We start from the raw sequence: 20,985 nt of genomic DNA, 5'->3' as shown, positions 1-20,985 counted from the left end.
AATACTTTGCATAATTCCTGGCATGTAGAAGAAATCAGTGAGTGGTAATGGTATAACTGTTGTTGTTACTGTTCCTTATACTGTAGGCAATGGGGAGCTAAGAAACAATTTTGATCAAAGAAATACAACGTTTTTATTTTAGAAAGAAAATTTCTGGCAATAAAGTGAAGGGTGGATTGGAAGGAGTGAGGCTAGAGTTATGAAAGAGATTTGGGAGACAACACAATTCAAGAGAATGTCCCACCTATACTTACTTAAAGAGGCAGTGATGGTGGGCATGAAGAAGTTAGACATGAGTCATTTAGAAGACACACTGAGGGGACCTGGTGCCAGAGTAGATTGGGTGGGAGAAGGTAAGGAGGAAGTCCAAAAAAAGTTTCTGATGTGGTTGTTTGGATGTGTGCCTGAGGAACACTGAAGTAAGATGGATGGATGGATGGATGGATGGATGGATGGATGGATGGATGGATGGATGGATGGATGAATGGAAGGCGTGGGGACAGAATTGATTGACTGAAATGAATTGATTTAAGGAGGAGGGGGTGGCCAACATAAGAAAGTGAAAAAATATGGATGAAAGACTGCCTGCCAGAGTCCACAATTAGAAATTTAACAAGAGCAGATACAATAAAACAGAGTAAGCAGAAACCAGATTACAGAGGATCAAGGAGTTGATGAAAGGTAGGGAAGGTGGAGACAGCAAGTGGTGTGGGGAGGTAGGTCACTCTTCAGAGGGGTGGGCAGTGAGGAAGAGTGAAGTACAGTAGGTAAAAAGCACCAGCTCTGGAACTAGGAAACCTGGGTTCCAATTCTTCTACCTAACTTCAAGCTCTCTGTGCTTCACTTTCCTCACGTATAAAAGGTAGACATCAAGGGGGTTCATTAGGATTCTGTTTCACAGAATTGTTGTAATAATTAAATGAGGTCTATATATATATATATACACATATATATACACATATATATGACTCATACATTCTAAGTGTTCAATAAATATTAGTAATTATAGAATTATTTGAAGGCAGTGAACATATTAATGTGGGGGATTACACCATAAAAGTTAAGATGGAACCTGATTATTTCATAAGTAGAAAAACACTCTCCAAAAACTGAATTGTATCATGATTCTTTCTTTTTTTTTTTTTTTTGAGTCAGAGTCTCGCTCTGTCACCCAGGCTGAAGTTCAGTGGCACAATCTCAGCTCACTGCAGCCTCCAGCTCCTGGGTCCAAGTGATTCTCATGCCTCAGCCTCCTGAGTAGCTGGGATTATAGGCGCGCGCCATGGGATTACAGGTGCGCACCATCACGCCTGGCTAATTTTTGTATTTTTAGTAGAGATGTGGTTTTGTCACGTTGGCCAGGCTGGTCTCGAACTCCTGACCTCAAGTGATCCACCTGCCTCAGCATCCCAAAGTGCTGGGATTACAGGTGTGAGCCACCGCACCCGGCTATCACGATTCTTGAAAGTACAAATTATTTAAAAGGGGAAAAAGAAAGAAACCCAATTAGCAGAATTGTTGATAAGAGTCAAAACAAACTGGACAACGAAATAATTTTTTTCAAGAAAAAAACTCAAAAAGAATAATGTATTTTCCCAATGTACAATTAAAAGATTGAATAACAGTAAATTAGGAGAAAGTACAGGAAAAAGAATCACTGTTGGACAGTTGAATTATAATAGTATTTTCTATAAAAAAGTCGATGCTTGGTCTTATTTACATGGTCAGACTAAAAGCATTTTGCTTTAAATAATAATTGAGGAAAAAGAAATCTGTTTACTTCTTTAAAGGCTTCTAACAAAAAAACACTGATTTCATTGATCAAAATTGACTAAAGCAGATCACGTAAGTAACCTCATACAAATTAGAGGAAACACTGGGTTGAAAACAAAGAAAATAGAAAAATTTGAGTTTCTCCTCTCCATCTCTTTTGTTCTGACAAGAAATTATTCAGTAATTCCGGCAGCAGGCTAACTCCAATGTACTGGACACCTGTACTAGACACCTGGGATTGTTAATAGAAGCAGTGGGAGAAAGATATGCCCTAGATGGTATAGAATCGCAAAAGGGACTCACCATGAGGCTGAGGCAATTGCTGCATACATACTACAATAAGGAAATCTAGAATGTGAAAAAACTGAAATAACACCAATTCCTGTTTGATATTAGAAAAAAACCTCTAGCAGTTAAATTTCTTTAAGTCTTGCATCAAATGAAATTTTCTGATAGTCACTCAACACAGACAGCTGATAATCTTCAAAATATTGTTTAATTTGTGAGATTAAAATAGGAGATATGCATTTTTTAAAAATGAAAACTTTGTCACCATATGAGAACAAAAACCAAATATTGAGCCAGGTGCAAAATTCGGTATTGATGCTCAAGAGAACATAATTAGATACTTAGAGATATGATAAAAAAAATTCAGTTGTTTTTAGGGGAAGTTATTACCCTACAACATGAGAACTTTTTTTTTTTTTTTTATGAGACGGAGTCTCGCTCTGTCACCCAGGCTGGAGTGCAGTGGCGTGATCTTGGCTCATTGCAAGCTCCGCCTCCCAGGTTCACACCATTCTCTTGCCTCAGCCTCCTGAGTAGCCGGGACTACAGGCACCCACTGCCACGCCCAGCTAATTTTTTTGTTTGTTTGCATTTTTAGTAGAGACAGGGTTCACCATGTTGGCCAGGATGGTCTTGATCTCCTGACCTTGTGATCCACCTGCCTTGGCCTCCCAAAGTGCTGGGATTACAGGTGTGAGCCACCACACCCGGCCCGAGAACTTTTTAGACATACCTATTGTGGTGGAGATTTTCAGTGGCCCCTTTATATCCATTCCTTTCATCTCCCATATAAATGGATTTTGAGCTAGATACATGGATGTCCAGAAGAAATGTGTTATTTTCTAGTTTTCCGTGCAGCTAGGGAAAGTTATGTTCTAATCAGTGAGATATAAGTGAAGTGTCCTGTACAATTTCAAAGACAGTAACCTTCAAGGTAGGGTGGGGCACACACTTCTTTAACTCTTTCTCCTTCTTCCTGGCTGGAATGCAGACGTGGAGGTTGAATTTTCAGCAGTCATCATGGACCATGAGACAGAGGACAGCTGAGCAACAGGACAGAATCCTGAGTCATTGATGCTGTGGACTGTCCACCAGCACAAGATTGCTACATCTTAAGCATCTTAAGCTTTTCTTTTCTTTTTTAATGTGAGAAAGTGATATCTATCTATCTTGTCTGAGACACTGTTTTATGTTTTTGGTCATTGACAGCCCAAACCAATCCAATCAAAGTGGGATACTATATGTGACAGAATCTAAAAGTGTGATACTCGTTTGTCACATTTTGGGCAGCAAGGACTCATACTGCAGGCTGGAAAACTAATTAATGTTATGTTAGCAAAATATCTGGTCACATTGTCCCCTGCAGAACTTGGAAGACAGTACAAATGTTAACTTAGTCTATAGCTATAGAGATATTACAAAAAATTCAGAATGTTGAATATAGCTGGCTCCTTCTTACTGCTCTTAGTAACAAGGAACTCAGACTAGGGCTAGCTGGTTGCAAGCTGAGTAAGAAAGCAGCTTTGCTGAAATTGTAAATTACTTGAGGTGACAGATACCTCGTTTACTCTGCGATTATTATGGAGTGTATGCCTAAAGTATCTCATGCACCCATAAATATATACATTTACTATGTACCCACATAAATGTACTTAAAAGTAAAAAAGTTAAAAAAAGAAATAAGATGGACTTATACTTGAAAAGAGAAGAGAAAGAAAAAAGAAAGAAAGAAAGAAAAGAGAGAGAGAGGAAACAGCTTTGCTAAGAAAACCACTCTCCTTGTGAATTAGAATTAAATTTGACTGAGGGTCCTGTGATTTTGATGTTTGCAGGTCTGAAAAAGCCAAGCATAGCAATTACAAGCATTGGCTACAGTATCATAGCCACCTCAGAAGGTTGGTGCCCCATCATACATGAGCTGAGTTTCTTGGCAGAGATGGGATTAAGAGTGCTTCAGATGACCTCAAAGGAGTCATCAGTAAGTTCAGAGTAGGGAAGAAGGACAGAGGCCAGTAAATAAAAGACAGGGTCTTTAGGTTCAAAACTACGTCCAGTTAAGACCTTTGCCTATAGTTGTTAATGGAACTGACAAGAAACAGACTAAAAGGCTACTAAGTTTGTGAGGGACTTGGACTGCCAAAATGCAGGATGGTCTGCACAGCCGCTACTGTACAACCCCTAAAGCAATTGCCGGGGCTCATGCTGGTACGAGAAGGAAGTATTAGAACCCACTCAGAAGAGCATTCACCCTAATGCCACCTCAAATATGGGCACAGAAGACAGGAGCAACAGAGGACAAAGGACTAAGGCGTATCCCTCACAGAGGAAAGCCAGGGGCCATCAGATGGGGTACTAAAGACCGTCCTTCAGTGCTTGCGCAGAAAGGCTCCAGGATTTCCACCAAGCAAGGTTTAATAATTCCTATTGAAAACTCATGTGTTTCTTATTCTCCCATTTTTCAAATGGGAGCTTTAAATATTCTCTTATTTCCATTCTATTTTATATTGGGAATGTTAGGTTGCTTTTTAGCTTATATCCATCAGCCCATGGAAAGCCACACCTGGACTTCCTGAAAAGGACAGAGCATCACCCAGAGATCATGTACTTATAAGAGGACAGGGTAACTAGATGGGACTGGGGCTCTCTCTCTTAGAGTAAGTTCTGTATGTAGCAAGAAGAATGGACAAATGGTGACTGTGGCAAAGACTGCTAATTGCTCCCCACTATTTCATCTCCCCTTCTTTCCAAGAGACTCTTTAAAGGGGGACAAAAAACTCAAACTAAACACTAAATTTTCTTAGCCTCTCTTGCAGGTAAGTGTGGCCATATGACTAAGTTCTGACAATTTGACATAATCAAAAGTGACGGGTATGACTTTCAGGAAGTATTACAAGGGAAGAAACACACACTCTTGTTTGCCCCTTGCCTTCCTACTGTTTGGAATGCAGATGTGATGGCTGGAGATTAAGCAGCCATCTTTGACCATGAGATGAAAGTTCAATCCTACATCTCTGACATGCTGGAGCCTTACAGAGTTCCACCATCTGGCTCTGGACTTCATTTACATGACTGAGAAATAAACTTTTTTTTTATGCCATATTTTTTCTGTCACTTGCAGATGAATCAAACTACAACTTTTATATACATAAATATATATGCATGCAAACGTGTGCATGTATGTATGTAACCTAGTTAAAACCTTTCCCTATACTGGTAGATTTAATGATATCACGGATAAAATGAAACCTATAAAGTATAATTGTGTGAAGAAAGGGGATTGATTTTCATGGAAGACCTGTAAATTCAGTATTTCTTTCTCATCCATAAAAAGCCTATAGTAAACATTTATGTTCCTTGCATACTGGATTTAACACTGGGGTTTTACCATTCTTACCAAACATTCTGGCTTATAAACATCTACCTAATATTAACCACAACTTAAGAATATCCGTCCCTAAAAGACAGTTACCAAGTTTTACTAATCTCTTAATATTCTATACCTAACAAGTGCCAGACACACGGTCTATAACCAATAAATACTAGTAGAATAAATGCAAAATTTAATCTCTTTTGAAATTAATGTTAATTCACAGGGACATTTTGATCTTATTTCCAGAATTCAAATTGGTCAGATCTTTTTCTTTTTTTTTTGAGACAGAGTCTCGCTCTATTACCCAGGCTGGAGTGCAGTGGCATGATCTCAGCTCACTGCCAGCTCTGCCTCCCGGGTTCACACCATTCTCCTGCATCAGCCTCCCGAGTAGCTGGGACTACAGGTGCCCGCCACCGCGCCCGGCTAATTTTTTTGTCTATTTTTTTTAGTAGAGATGGGGTTTCACCATGTTAGCCAGGATGCTCTCAATCCCCTGACCTTGTGATCCACCCGCCTTGGCCTCCCAAAGTGCTGGGATTACAGGTGTAAGCCACCGTGCCTGGCTTTTTTTTTTTTTTTTGAGATGGAGACTCACTCTGTCACCCAGGCTGGAGTGCAGTGGTGCGATCTCGGCTAACTGCAAGCTCCACCTCCCGGGTTCACACCATTCTCCTGCCTCAGCCTCCCAAGTAGCTGGAACTACAGGTGCCCGCCACCATGCCCAGCTAATTTTTTGTATTTTTAGTAGAGACAGGGTTCACCATGTTAGCCAGGATGGTCTCGATCTCCAGACCTCATGATCTGCCCGCCTCGGCCTCCCAAAGTGCTGGGGTTACAGGCGTGAACCATCGCGCCCAGCCCTGGTCAGATCTTAATAATCTGAGATTCAGCCTTTTAAAAAAATTATTGGTTATATTACCCAGTCTTCTTTTTCTCATTTTTTCTGAGGACTTAATTAGGGCACCTTTTCGATATTACTGCAAAGTCGACTAGAACATTCAAAAGTACACATACTGTACATGCTCCCTTGATTTCTTCCTGATTTTCAGTAGGAATATAAGGTCCTAGAGTGGCCCATTCACATAATGAGGGCTCAGTGAATGTGAGAATGATGATAAGGAGGAGTACAAGGAGGCAACAGTGACCCATCATTGACTCTTTCTCCTTGTGCCTGCAGCAAGTGATGAAATGGATCTCTGGTTAGGAATACAGGGTGCTTATGGGCAGGAGTTTAAGCTAGAGATTTAATATACTTGGCTTTAAGAAAGAAAGATAAGTAGGAGGAAGACATGAGGGCTTAAAGTTTTTGAAATGTAGTTTAGAATGGATAATAGCTTCACAACATGTTAACAACCACTGGCATTAGCATTTCATTTTAAAACACGTACACATACTTCATTAAGAAACTCTGCAGTTTTATAATTAAAGATGTTATTACAGATAAAACACTCATTACTTTTATTTGTAGTTTTTCTCCTCATGGTCACATTCAAACATAGCTTCATTTTCTAAACATTTTACGTAAAAAATTGATACGTAATACTATGCATATTTATGGAAGGTATATGTGGTATTTTGATATATGCACACAATGCGTAATGATCAAATTAGAGTATTTAGGATATCTGTTACTCAAAATGTATCATTTCCTGTGTTGGGAACATTTCAAATCTCCTCTTCTAGCTATTTGGAAATATACAATAAATTGTTGTTAATTATAGTCACTCTACTGTGCTACCAAACACTAGAACTTATTCCTTCTATCTAGCTATATGTTTGTACCCCTTAACCAATCTCTCTTCATCACCACCTACCTCCCTTTCCACTTTCTGGTAAGCATCATTCTATGTTCCATCTCCATGAGATCAATTTTTTAGCTCCTGCATATGAGTGAGAACACGCGGTATTTGTCTTTCTGTGCCTGGTTTATTTCAGTTAACATAATGACCTTTGGTTCCATCCATGTTGCTGCCACGACAAAATTTCACTCTTTTTATGGTTGAATAGTATTCTGGTGTGTGCTATATCTTTAACCATTCATCTGATGATGGACATTTAGGCTGATTCCTTATCTTGGCTATTGGGCATAGTTTATCTGCAATAAACATGGGGGAACAGGTATCTCTTTGATACTGATTTCCTTTCCTTTGGATAAACAGCTAGTAGTGGGACTGCTGTAGCACATAGTCATTCTGCTTTAACAAACACAGCTTCTTTATTGATCCCCTCACCCAGTGACTGGATGGAGAGTGAAGGTAAAAAGGAGGCGATATTGACTATAGAATGTTGTATTAAATGTCCAGGAGATGGCATGTATAATATAACATTTCTATTCAATAGTGTAGTATAATTTTCAATTGGAAAATTATCATCCCTATTGTTTCCAAAAACTATCCTACTTGGAAGTTATAATAGCAATAAATAAAATTTGGAGATCCACAAGCTAGAGCTTGAATCTGAACTCTGGCAATTATTAGCACTGTGACTTCAGGCAAGTTATTTAACTTCTATGTACCTAAATTTCTTAACCCTAAAATGGGGATAAGATTTTGTATATAATATGTGCCATTGTGAGAATTAAATGAGTTAATTCATGTAAACCACTTAGTACCATGTAAACTACACTGATTTCAACATATTATAGGCTCAATAAATATTGCCTAATAATTATTCTTAGCTATTAGCCAGCGGGGGTCCACAGAATCTCTAAGAAGGCAAAGTATTATGTGCTATTAAAAGGAATGTATCACTTTTTCTGCAAAGAGAAGAGGATTTTCTTGTCTACGAAAAGAGAACTTTAATTAAAACAGACCAAGAAATACTGCTCTAAGCCTTACTCTTGTTAGTTCCAGAGTTAAGTGCCATTCATTCAACAGACACGTATTATCCCTGCTTCTTACTCTTGAGTCCCTTCCTGCCATATATACGGTGCAGAGTTGTGGGGGTGTCAAGGAGGACAAACCAAGCACTGTGCAAGGAACTGGGGATGCTGCAGTCAAAAAAGGACCATGAAGATTTCTAACTTTAGACGTTAGTACAACTCAATAGCTTTTGAATACTCATGAAATTTGGAAAAGAAAGCAATCTAACAATATTTTTTGTTTTTTCATATTCTCCAGAGCCCCCAGCCCAGTGCTTGCTTATAAGAGGCAACTCTCAATAACACTTGGCCCTTCTTCCCTTCCTTTTCCTACAACTGTATTGTCTCTTGGCTTCCGTGGTATTATTTCCTCCTGGGTCTCCACCTCCACGGGCCTGACCCTGCCTTTTTAACCTGCCACAGAATCCTTTTTCCTTTCCCATTATTACTGAAATATTGGTGTTCCCTAGACTTCTGTTCTTACCCTTCCATTTTTCCTTCTGGATGATCTCATTACCTATAACTTCATCTACTACTCAAATGCTGATTACTCCCAAGCATTTATCTCTAGACCCTCATCTTTCTTTTTGGCTCCTGACCCACATTTTCTACAGCCTAAGGGGGGCTCTATCCTAGATTTTCCAGGCAGTCACTGCAAATTCAGCATGTCTAACATCAAACTCATCTTTCCTACCTAAACTCCTCCTCCTTCTCATTTCCCTATCTGGGTTAACTATATGATTTTCTATTATTATGCCTTACTTAAGATACCAAGGAGCTACTTTTGACACCCATGCATGCCTTCCTCATCTTCTCTTCTAAGTGTACATTGTAAATTTCTTCTCCTCAATATTTGCTGAATCCACTTTATTGTCTCCAGTGCTAGAGGAAAATGCCTTAGATTAGACCAGCAGTACAACACTATGGATAAGAGCACTGGCTGGGTAATCCCCTGGCCTGGATTCTATCAAGGTTCTATCACTAACTGCATGACTTTGGGCAAATTACTTAACATCTTTGGGCCTTGAGGATTAAACAATCTAAGACATACAATGCTTTAACAGTAGTGCTTGGCATGAAAGTAAACACCCAAAAATATTAGATAATTGTTTTATTATGATTATCATGTTAAGTATTATCGGTATACTTACCATTGCATTTATTACTAGTCTGGACACATAACCGATAAAAATAGAAATCATTTAATTAATATATGCTATTGGAACTGGTAAAAAGAACCACAGTAGAAACTGAGGGTATATAGTTCCAGTATGCATTAATTCATTGTGGGCTTTTTTTTTTTTTTTTTTTTTTTTTTTGAGACAGGGTCTTGCTCTGTTGCCCAGGCTGGAATGCAGTGGTGTGATCTCGGCTCATGGTAGCCTCTGCCTCCCAGGCTCAACCTCAGCCTCCCAAGTAGCTGCGACTACTTGGGACTATAGGCGAGTGCCTCCCAGGATCCTCCCACCTCAGCCTCCCAAGTAGCTGCGACTACAGGCGAGTGCCACCACACCTGGCTAATTTTTGTAGAGATGGGGTTTTGCTATGTTGTCCAGGCTGTTCTTGAACTCCTGGACTCAAGCAATCTGTCTGCCTCAGCCTCTGAAAGTGCTGGGATTACAGGCATGAGCCACCATGCCTGGCCTCAACAACTCTTTCTAACCATTCCGAACCCTGACATTTGTTTTATAAAATGCAAATTAAAAATACTAACCCTATGTACTTTGCTAAGTTTTGGTAACATAATGAGTTAATATGCAAGCTCTGTGGAATATGAAAGCACTCTGTCAAAAAAAGAAAAACGTTATTATTCTACTACTTCATGTATATGTGATTGGACCTTTATGTTTATGATATACCACTGAGGCAGGAAAAATGCACAAGAGATTAAGAGACGATGATTTCTGAAAGGAATAACATAATCATATTGTAAAGGAAGGATATAAAGTGAATGAAGTTTAGGAAAAATGAGGTTCCTTTCTTGACCAGACTACAAGGAAATGGAAAGCAAGTCAACATAAAGTAACAGTTGCCTTCAAACCAGTGAATCGAATTTGGGGTAGTCCCAGAATCCTACGGTATTTAGCACATTGTGTCATAATCTATTTAGCATATAATCTTCTAAATATAACAACACACTGGAGAAGGAAAAAAAAGTAAATATGTTTTTCTGCTAAATAACTGATCCAATGATATATATGTATTCATTAGAAAAGTTCTAAAAGTAGCAATGGAGAGAAGGGAAAAGAACTTCACTACCTCAGAAAGAAATTTGGCAAAAGATAAAAACAGTGAACACGACCTTAGTGCTACCCAAAATAACAACTTAGCTAAAGATACTAGAAATGATGACATAAAGCCAGAAAACATTTTTCAGGGAAGCATTTTGCCTAAAGTATTTTGGAGGTGGTTACTTAGTGAACAGAAACACATCTGGGAATGCATCTGGAAGAAAATATAATTATCTAATCCTTGCTGAATCATTCTTTTTTTTTCTTTTGCATTTATTTTCTTTTCTTCTGATAAATATTCTACTTATGTTTCCAAGCCACTAGGACTAAAACTAGATGAATAAGGCAGAATAAAATACTAATTTAATGTAACATAGCTTTATCAGATTGTGTTCCAATAAGCACACATGAATGACCAGGACTAATGATAGGAAAGAAAAATTACTCAGGATGTTAATAATTTAGCATCCTTTTTGCAGATAGACTGGAAAAGTAGGTCATAGGATGGGCTGGATGATATAAGTTAGCTCAATGACTCACTCACAGTCATCATCCTGCCATAAAGCCAAGTAATACTGGCTTTATGCCCTTGTGCCCCTTCCATTGAATGAGTATACAGCGGAGAGATCACAGAATGAAACTTCCTCTGCAAGTCTGCTACTTCCCCTCTAGTTTGTTCTCTCCTCGCCCTGCAAAAGATTCCCCTTTACCCATGAGTGCTCATTGCTTATTAGCTGTGGTATTTCACTGGGCAATCTCTGGGTATAGTGAACTTACGGGAATAATAATAAATATCACAGTGCTAAAATGGTTAATATTCTATAAGCAACAAGGGAAATTAACCCTGAAGTGCACAGTACCTTAAGAAATGATAATGGCAAATTCTAAAATGAACAATATCATGGGATTAAAAATCAACATGGAGACGCCACAGTAAGATGCAACTTAACGTTAGATCCATGCAACTTGCAGGTAAAAACAAAACCGTTTATTAATTCATTCAAATTGTATTTACCAAGTGAGAAAGATAGAGATGTTAACTATTTAAGGTCTAGTTAACATAAACTAAAAAGCTACTGGACTTCTAACAAAATACTCTGTCTAAAGAGTTAGGTCTTTTAATATATAAACTGTTTCATTTCCTAAATATCTATCCGTAGGATATTCTTACATGTTTCTTTCACATTTTAATGTGTGAACTTGAGGACTTAAAGATTCTTTTACTTAGCATTAAAACATATGCTTAAGAACTGCGCATGTTGTCATTTTTTGAATATATGTTAATGCATGGTTTATGTTGGGGAGTGACTATACATTCACTGCTGCTCAAATGATAGAGGCCCAATTAAAGTAATTGTCTAATGCCTCAAGGCCCTGGGAACCCTAATTATATCATCCCCAACATAACGCAGTACAAAAATCATTGAATTGGGAAGTAACTCTCTCAAAAACACATGAAAAAAGAAAAAAGAATCATTCATGTTTTATACTTTAAAAAACATCTCAGTAATAAGTTTAAAAGATAACAGAAACATCAGTTATGTGACAATGAATGATAGTAAAATATATAAGATACATATTTTAAAATACAAAGACAAATTTTTTTTGAAAGACAGGATCTTGCTCTGTCACGCAGGCTGGAGTGCAGCAGCATGATCATAGCTCATTGTAACTTCCAACTTCCAGGCTCCAGTGATCCTCCTGCCTCAGCCTCCCTAGTAGTTGAGACTACAGGTGTACATCAGCATGCTCAGCTAGTTTTTTTATTTTTATTTTTTTGTAGAGATACGGTCTCACAGGCTGGTCTGGAACTCCTGGGCTCAAGTGATCCTCCTACCTCAGCCTCCCAAAGTATTGGGATTACAGGTGTCAGCCACTGCACCCAGCCAAACACAGATTATTTCTAAAACCAGAATTGCACCGCTTGCTTTGTTCTATATAGTTTCTTCCCCTATCCCTACAAATCCCATTTTATACTTCAAAAAATCATCTTATCCATTTAGATAAAAACATCAAATTACTCAGTTAATGTTCAATTGGATTAATAAATCTGAATAGAATAATTTAAGTCATATGATTGCTCATGGCCAGCTGTTTTAAATTAGTATATTAAGTCATTTAGACGCTCTTCTTTGCAAAGGTTGCATGATTTAATAAATTCCCATATGCCTCAACATGTGCCAACACTGCTAGGTTATCTTGTATCCAGCTGCTGTTGTGATGATGGCTGCCAACTTTCAAACAACTGAAGAGAATAATGAACCAGCTTAGTTGGCTCATATGTAAACTTACATTGCTACCAGCTAAAACATGGGCCATTTTCAACTGCAAAGAAAATTAATTAAAAAGATTTCACTTCCACTTTCATGGCTCTACCAATACCACAAAATTAGCAGTTTGAAAGCTTGCAGCTTCAGGTAAACTCCCACAGTTTGGATTTCAATCTTAAATGCTATAGGTTGTCTTAAAAAATGGATTTTTTAAGGAAACAGATCAGGAAATGCCTTGTCCATAACTCATAACACAAATATTTGAGAAGCCTCACACTGCTGGAGAAAAAAGAGAGACTTATTTGTTAAAGGCACATTACAAAAAAGGCTTCAAAGACTTCAGGGGAAATGAGAGATGTAAATGAAATGGGCCGCCATTTAGAAAGGATTTAAAAAGCAAACAGAAAAAGAAAGCACCAAACATACCACTTTAAGTCAGGATCATTTTATGAATGAGCGTTAGGCACAAATCAGGGCAACATGATAGTGTTAGGCCCCTCCAAGAGTGAAAATACTGTGTTGAATTTTAATAAAGGCTGGACAAGACAATTTTGTGCTGGATCAGTTATCCAGGCTAGTGGCTCTAAAGAAAGCCCTGAAACTTTGGTGTTTCCAAAATGAGCACTAATCTATTTGGCATAAAGCTATACTAGTTTTTATAGCGGAAGGTAGGTCAAACATAAGAACTATTTAAAATATTTCATTTATTTCTTTTTTCTTTCTTTTTTTATTTTTGAGATGGAGTCTCACTCTGTCACCCAGGCTGGAGTGCAGTGGCACGATCTCAGCTTACTGCAACTTTTGCCTCCCGAGTTCAAGTGATTCTCCTGCCTCAGCCTCCCCAGTAGCTGGGATTACAGGCACGTGCCACCATGCCTGGCTAATTTTTGTGTAGGTATGTGTGTATATATGTGTGTGTGTGTGTGTGTATATATATATATATATATATATATATATTTAGTAGAGATGGTTTCACCATGTTGGCCAGGCTGGTCTTAAACTCCTGACCTCAGGTGATCCACCCACCTCAGCCTCCCAAAGTGCTGGGATTAGAGGTGTGAGCCACTGTGCCTAGTCTAAAATATTTCATCTACTTCTAAATGTCCATAATAGTTGGAAATTACTCACCAGGTAGATGGACTTCCCCAAGAGGACAGGAAAACTCTTTTTCGCTAAATGGCAAAGCTGATTATACTGTCCTCATGGGAGTAAGTCTATATTATTCTTCACAACAGATGGACTAGACAAAATACACAATTTTATGGTTCTGATGAACTGTCTAAAACTATGCAAGGATCACTTTTTTATTTTTTGAGATAGGTCTCACTCTGTCACCCAGGCTGGAGTGCAGTGGCGTAATCTTGGCTCACTGCAACCTCCGCCTCCCAGGCTCAATTGTTTCTCCCACCTCAGCCTCCCAAGTAGTTGGGATCACAGGTGCGAGCCAACACGATCAGCTAATTTTTTGTATTTTTGATACAGACGGGGTTTCACCATGTTGCCCAAACTGATCTTGAACTCCTGAGCTCAGGAGATCCATCCACCTCAGCCTCCCAATGTACTAGGATTCCAGGTGTGAGCCACCGCACTGGGCCTAGGATCACTTTATTGGCAGTGATAATCTGATTTTTTTTTTTTTTTTTAAAATAGGTTACCTGAAGTTTTCTCAGTCATCTGCTATACATAAGCAGGTATATCATATTGGCTGCCTACTACAGTTTTGCAATATATCTTACTTATAATCTAAATGTGAAATTATATACCAGGGTTGCTTCTGCCCTTGCTGCATATACACAATACAGCGTTAATTTAAAAATCTCTCAGAGATGCTAACTGACTAGACTCATACTCTACAATCTAATTGACGCATGGCACTTGAAACTGAAACTATATATGGGGGGGTATGGGATGGAGTGTGATCTCCAGGCATCTCCAATATCTTCTCCAGGTATGTCTAATATTTTCATTGCTAGAAATACTAGAGATCCCTGGGAAACATAGTTGGTTCTAGGATCCTCCAGTTGGTTGAATACTTCTAGAAAAACTACATAGATGCCTCACAATAACTCAGAATCCAACGAAAGGACCCAGATCCAAAGAAATCCAAGAGACTATTTCCTAATACCTGACATGATCATCTTTTTACCTCTATATAGCTCATAGAGGCTGTTGGAACTGTCCAAGATGGAACAGATTTAACAGACCTCCAGAACAACGTAACTTGTGAAATTGTTGCCCATTTAAGTAGCCACAGTAATTCCTCCAACAACTGAGTCAGCCCTCAACCAAATAAAGATAAAAGAGAGGTGCTGATTCCTTAACCTCGTTTAATCACACTAATGCAACAAACTATCTGGAAAGTGTTCTAGTCTATTCTGCACCCGGGATGCATGTTTATACTTGGGAAAATATTGTGTAACAAGTATCAAGTTTTTATTGGCTACTGCTGTAATAGGCAAAGAAGGAAGAAATTTCACAAGTGCAACTGACTTGAAATTTTGAAAATATTCCATTTACCAGTGCCAGAGTGCCCAAAAGAACTCTTTTATATGAGACAAATTTGCCTGCAATAATAGAAGAAAGGCAAGAAAGGGCTATAGGCCAACAGCAGATACTTAAACAAATAAAAATCTATATTCTTTAGCCTAACACAGTTCTGTTCAAGATTTGAAAGTATTAAAAAGGGTAGAGATCTATTTTCCATTTTCCACTTTGAAGGCTGTAGCACTTAACAAATACAGCTTCTATGCACTGATTTGAATATTTGGACAATTAGCTGTATTTGTCTGAATGTACACTAAGTAGCTTTATTCTTGGTGGTTAGGATAATCAAGAATGCCTAGAGGTTAAAAAAAAACTTAGAAAGATATGTAATGGAAAGGTATGGAAGAATAGAAAAAGGAAAAAAAAGAAAAAGATTTTTAAAATGATCATATGCAGTTAGGATAAATGACTAATTAAAGGTGGAAAAAATAATTGCTTACAATTTGTATAAAGCAATCGTATCCATGCAGTACTCTGACATAGTACAAAGGTACATAATTATAAACAAGACGATGGAAATAAAAAGTTGTATCTTAATTAAGAAAAACAACAAAGGAAAAGGCTATGGAAAAAATGTATGAAAAGTAGGAAGACCCAGGCCACAAATACGCCAAGACAAATGACATATCCCCAGAGGGGAGAACAGTGATGTAGACTTGAGAAGGCTCTGTGTGACCTGGGCCAACACTTCCATTTCCTGCCTAGCATAATCACAGAAGGCAGTCAATGTTTGGTGATGATGAGGAGCAGGGTTTTGAAGAACATAATTAAGGGCTGAAAGTATTTTCTGTGGAAACAAAATTATCATTCATGTCTGACATTGTGTAAATATGCCTTAATTTTGGTCAATAGCAATTTGAACTTTAAAAAGTAGAATCCTCAAACCTTCTTGTAAATCACAATTCTTTAAGCAAACTGCAGGGCTTCGTGTGTAAAAGCATAGACATTCCAGATACTCTTTAAAAAATGCTGTTTAGTAGAAAATTATCTATTTTGTAGTGACACAATTTGGCCTCTGTCCATGTCAAAACCAGCTCATAACTTCAAAAAGCCACATTAAAGGAGATTTACACAGAGCAAAGCTAAAGCAGTTTTCATCCACCAGGTCAGGTATAAAAATAATCACAATTCACATTACCTTAAAAAGACTGGCAATCTTACACAAATTAATGGTGTGTCATGTACAGATGGAAGGTGGATATAAACTGAGGAGAAAGAAAAAACCACATCAAAGGTGCCAAGGAGACTTAAAGGCTTTGAAAGCTTCGAAAGTCTCGCCTTCTCTCTTGTACCTTTAATTGTAAGGCTGCAATAAGTGCATTTTTGCCACAAGCTTTTGAAAGAAAAAAGAAATGGTTATTTTCTTAAGTACTAACAGACTTACTTCTCTTTCAGAAAATCCACTACTCTTTTGAAGTCAGCCACACAGTATTCTCTTTTCATTTCCATGAGTACGCTGTCGGAGGCAGACTGGACTGGTATGTGCAGAAAAGCGTAGACTCTGGGGTGATTAAGGATTTTTGCCATTTCCTTAAAAAAATGGAAGGAGAAAACACTAATCATTTTAACAAATTGTGGAATGGTTTTCCTCACATCAACACCACAAGCGCAAGCAAATAAACATACTAGCTGAAAACAGACCAATCATCAAGGCTCTTAAAGTGAACATCAGTTGGTAATATTCTATGATGAGATTTGGGAATTCAATATCACTTTCAGAGGATTCCACACAACAATTATTTCCTCATGCTCGCTGTTTCTCTTAGGTGACAAAACAGAGATAAAGTCACATAATGCCTAAAGAGTAAAAAGATTTTTCAGGATTCCAAAACAAACACCATTTCTACTTCACTTCCAAGGAGTTTTACATTCTGCCTTGTTACATTTGTGGGAAAAACATCAGTATTTAAGGCAAACACTTGAGATCCCATAATCCCCTATACTGGAATACAGAAAGTTTCCAAATTTAGGTTAACACATTTTTTAATACAAATATTATTGCCAAGACAAATGACATATTTGTACAAAAAAAATCAGGAAAAAAACTCTACAACTCACCTGTTTCTTTCTTTTTTTTTTTTTTTTTTTTTTTTAATTTCAGTCACATATTTTTTGAGTATCTATTACGCAAAAGGCACATGACCCGACAGTGAGGCCAGCCACTTCACCACTGGGCACCTACTAACTTTCATACTTAAGATGCATAAAAAGAAGAGAAAGAAGAGATGAAGATTAAGAAGAACGTATCTTGCCAAGCGAAAGAGAATACATTTAAGTGAAAAACATTAAAAACTCAGAGAGTGTTTAAAAATTCCTCCAAGGATACAAAGGGGGCGAATAAGAAAGAGTGACAGAGGTGAAGTTCTGTAATGTCACCATTCATGTAAGCATTAGGTAAGATGACTAATGTGGCCCTTCTCCACTGCTGCATGCTGTCAGGTCATCGATTTGAAAGAGAGGGAGGAAAGGAAGGAGAGAAAGAGAAAAAGAAAAAAGAAAAGAAACAAAGAAAAAAAGAAAAAGAAAAGTGAAAAGAAAGAGACAGCAGGCACATACGGCCTTTCAGAGTCCAGTAGTGAATAAAAATGTCATAAAGGGAGTGGCTCATTAATAAGTTGCATGTGTCCAGTGATTCTTAGTTTTCAAAGTATTGCACTTTCACATCTGTTACCTCATTTCATCCTTCAAAAAATATTTTGAAGGATCTTATGGAATCAAAGAGCCAGCTAATTCCGTCCAGTTACCTCTCAGCTCTTCAAGAGTTAGTCATGCATACGGATCAACCATGCCCTGTGTTTCTCCATTTTCTTTTCATTGACTGTGAACATTAGCATTTTAGCCAAAGGGGAAGCCCAGAGATGAACTCAAATCAGTCACCTTCTTAGCAGCGGTTGTTTAAAATAATCCTTTCACTAAGATTATCAAATACAATTACTCATAGATATCCTTTATCCACACTTTCTCTACCAGGAATTAATAGGTATATACCTTATTAACCTTGTTACATATAGACTACTAAATTGGAATTGGAGTTGAAGAATTTCTTATTTAGTAGAAAAGCAGCTGGATACACTTTCATGAAACTGTTACATTTCTGGGCTGGGTATTCAGTAGGCTCTTTTTTTTTTTTTCTTTTTTCTTTTTTTGAGATGGAATTTTGCTCTGTCACCCAGGCTGGAGTGCACTGGCGCGATCTCAGCTCACTGCCACCTCCACCTCCCGGGTTCAAGTGATTCTCCTGCCTAAGCGTCCAAGTAGCTGGGATTACAGGCATGTGCCACCACGCCCAGCTAATTTTTGTGGTTTTAGTAGAGATGGGGTTTCACCATGTTGGTCAGGCTGGTCTTGAACTCCCGACCTCAGGTGATCCGCCTGCCTCAGCCTCTCAAAGTGCTGGGATTACAGGCGTGAGCCACCGCGCCTGGCCTCAGCAGCCTCTTTGTAGCCATACTGCACACTTGGAGCTGGGCGAGGCAGAGCCACACTCACATTACGCATCCTACAGTAAATATGCTGGCCTTATGCTAGAATACTCTGCCTTTCAGGTTCTTCACACTTGAACATCAAAATCCCCCCCAAATTTAAGAAACATAACTGTACAAAGATCTTTGTTTTCTAAAGTGGCAGCACTCACAGCTTTAGACATATCTATTGCGGTGAGAAATGACATCTTGACATGTAATACACTTTGCGAGATGAAACTTCACACTCAGGCTGTGTACCTTCTTCTCATCTATAAAATGGAGAGAAGGATAATATTCACCTCATAGGGCTACTGGGCTATTGTGAAAATAAATTAAGATAATCCAGTATATGCTAATAGAGTAAGCACTCCATATGTAAATCATCTAATTTTTTATTTTTTTTCTTTTGGTAAGTATTTTAAGTTCCCTGTATCACAATTTTATATGGATTACAGGGAACCTATCAATAAATAAAACAGCTTTCTGATAAGCTAGTTCCCGAACTAGCAAGTGAAGGAGAAATAACTGGTACTGATTTGCATGACATAAATTTGAAAGGGGTTTACCAGCAAACATGACCCCGGGCCAGAGAGGGTGGTGCAGTTTCTCTTGGAAACACTCAGGGTGGCCTCTTACTATAAACAGGATACTGAGCTAGATGAAACTTTGCCCTGCTACAGTATGCCAATTTACAAATTAAAATGTTAATAGCAAACAAGTAGGATAAATGTAGTGGTTTCCCCCTCCCCCCGCCACCCCCGTGGTTCTCAAAATAAACCTTCCCACTAGTAATTATCTTTAGCTTCATACTACAGGCCTTGCAACTTTATACTGCTAGAACACAAAATAAAAATACACTTGCCCCTTAATTAAAGTCCATGTTTCTACCACTGAGAGAATCATGACTTAACACAGATTAATGTCCCCAAGGAGACAAAGTATGTATTTTTTGTTTTGCTTTCTCTTCCATTCCTCTCCTTGCTCAGCACTCTTAGTTTAGGACAACTTGTGTTCTCTTCATCTTTCAGAATCTTCTTCCTTTATGACTTCTCAGCAACTTGTTCCTGGTGTTACCAAAGTGTTTACTTAGCTCTTCCTGGCAATACAATAATGAATCTCCAGAACTGAATGCTACAAGGCTGCTACAAGGCCAGAAATTATATTTTACTCTTCCCTCTGCATTTCTACAATAGCTTATACTGTGCTAAGCACACCACTAAACATTTAAATACAGATATGGGTTACAACTACATCAACATACACGAAAAGAGGTGTAAATTGTAATTTCAATAGGAAGACAAACTTTCATTCAGTAATATTTCAGTTTGGCTCGACCAGGTAAACAAACATATATTCAAGTAGGTAAACAGGCATTTAATCAGCCTGCCTTAATTTCTGGAACAAATGAATAATTATATGTAAATCTATAGGTATATACATAAGTACAGGCATACATCATTTTATTGTGCTTCCCAAATATTGTGTTTCTTACAAATTGAAGGTTTGTGGCAACCCTGTGTCAAGCATGTGCACTGGCAAATTTTTTCAACAGCATGTGCTCACTTCGTATCTCTGTGTCACATTTTGGTAATTCTTGCAATATTTTAGACTTTTTAAATTATTACTGTATCTGATGTGATGATCTGTCATCAGTGATCTTTGATGTTACTCTTGTAATTATTTTGGGGTGCCACAAACCGCGCCCATATAAGATGGCAAATTTAATAAATGTTGTGTGTGTTCTGACTGCTCTTCCAACTGGCTCTTCCCATCTTGGGCCTCCCTATCCTCTGAGATACAACAATATTGAAATTAGGCCAATTAATAACCTGACGAAGGCCTTTAAATATTCAAGTGGATGGAAAAGTCCCACGTTTCTCACTGTAAATCAAAAGCTAGAAGGCATTAACCTTAGTGGGGAAGGTATGTCAAAAGCTGAGACACGTTAAAAGCTAGGCCTCTTGCACCAGTCAGCCAAATTATGAATGCAAAGGAAAAGTTCTTGAAGGAAATCAAAAGTGCCACTCCAGTGAACTCATGAATGATAAGAAAGTCAAACAGCCTTATTGCTGATATGGAGAAAGTTTCAGTCGTCTGGATAGATGATCAAACCAGCCACAACATTCCCTTAAGCACAAACCTAATCCAGAGCAAGGCCCTAACTCTCTTCAATTCTATAAAG

At 38.2% G+C, this 20,985-nt stretch overlaps 1 protein-coding gene across 17 annotated transcripts in view; it reads right to left on the bottom strand.

Annotated features, from left to right (window-relative positions):
* CDKAL1 (CDKAL1 threonylcarbamoyladenosine tRNA methylthiotransferase) overlaps positions 1-20,985 on the bottom strand; it is a 697,948-nt gene that overhangs the window by 215,309 nt on the left and 461,654 nt on the right. For all 17 annotated transcript variants that reach the window (XM_047418949.1, XM_047418952.1, NM_017774.3 and 14 more), the window contains one exon: positions 16,724-16,869. In XM_047418949.1, coding sequence (XP_047274905.1) covers positions 16,724-16,869 — 146 coding nt within the window. Of the gene's footprint in view, positions 1-16,723; positions 16,870-20,985 lie in introns of those variants that run through there.

This window comes from Homo sapiens, chromosome 6 (assembly GCF_000001405.40).
Source record: "Homo sapiens chromosome 6, GRCh38.p14 Primary Assembly".
Taxonomy (NCBI): domain Eukaryota; kingdom Metazoa; phylum Chordata; class Mammalia; order Primates; family Hominidae; genus Homo; species Homo sapiens.
This window is presented reverse-complemented; position numbering and strand designations above follow the sequence as displayed.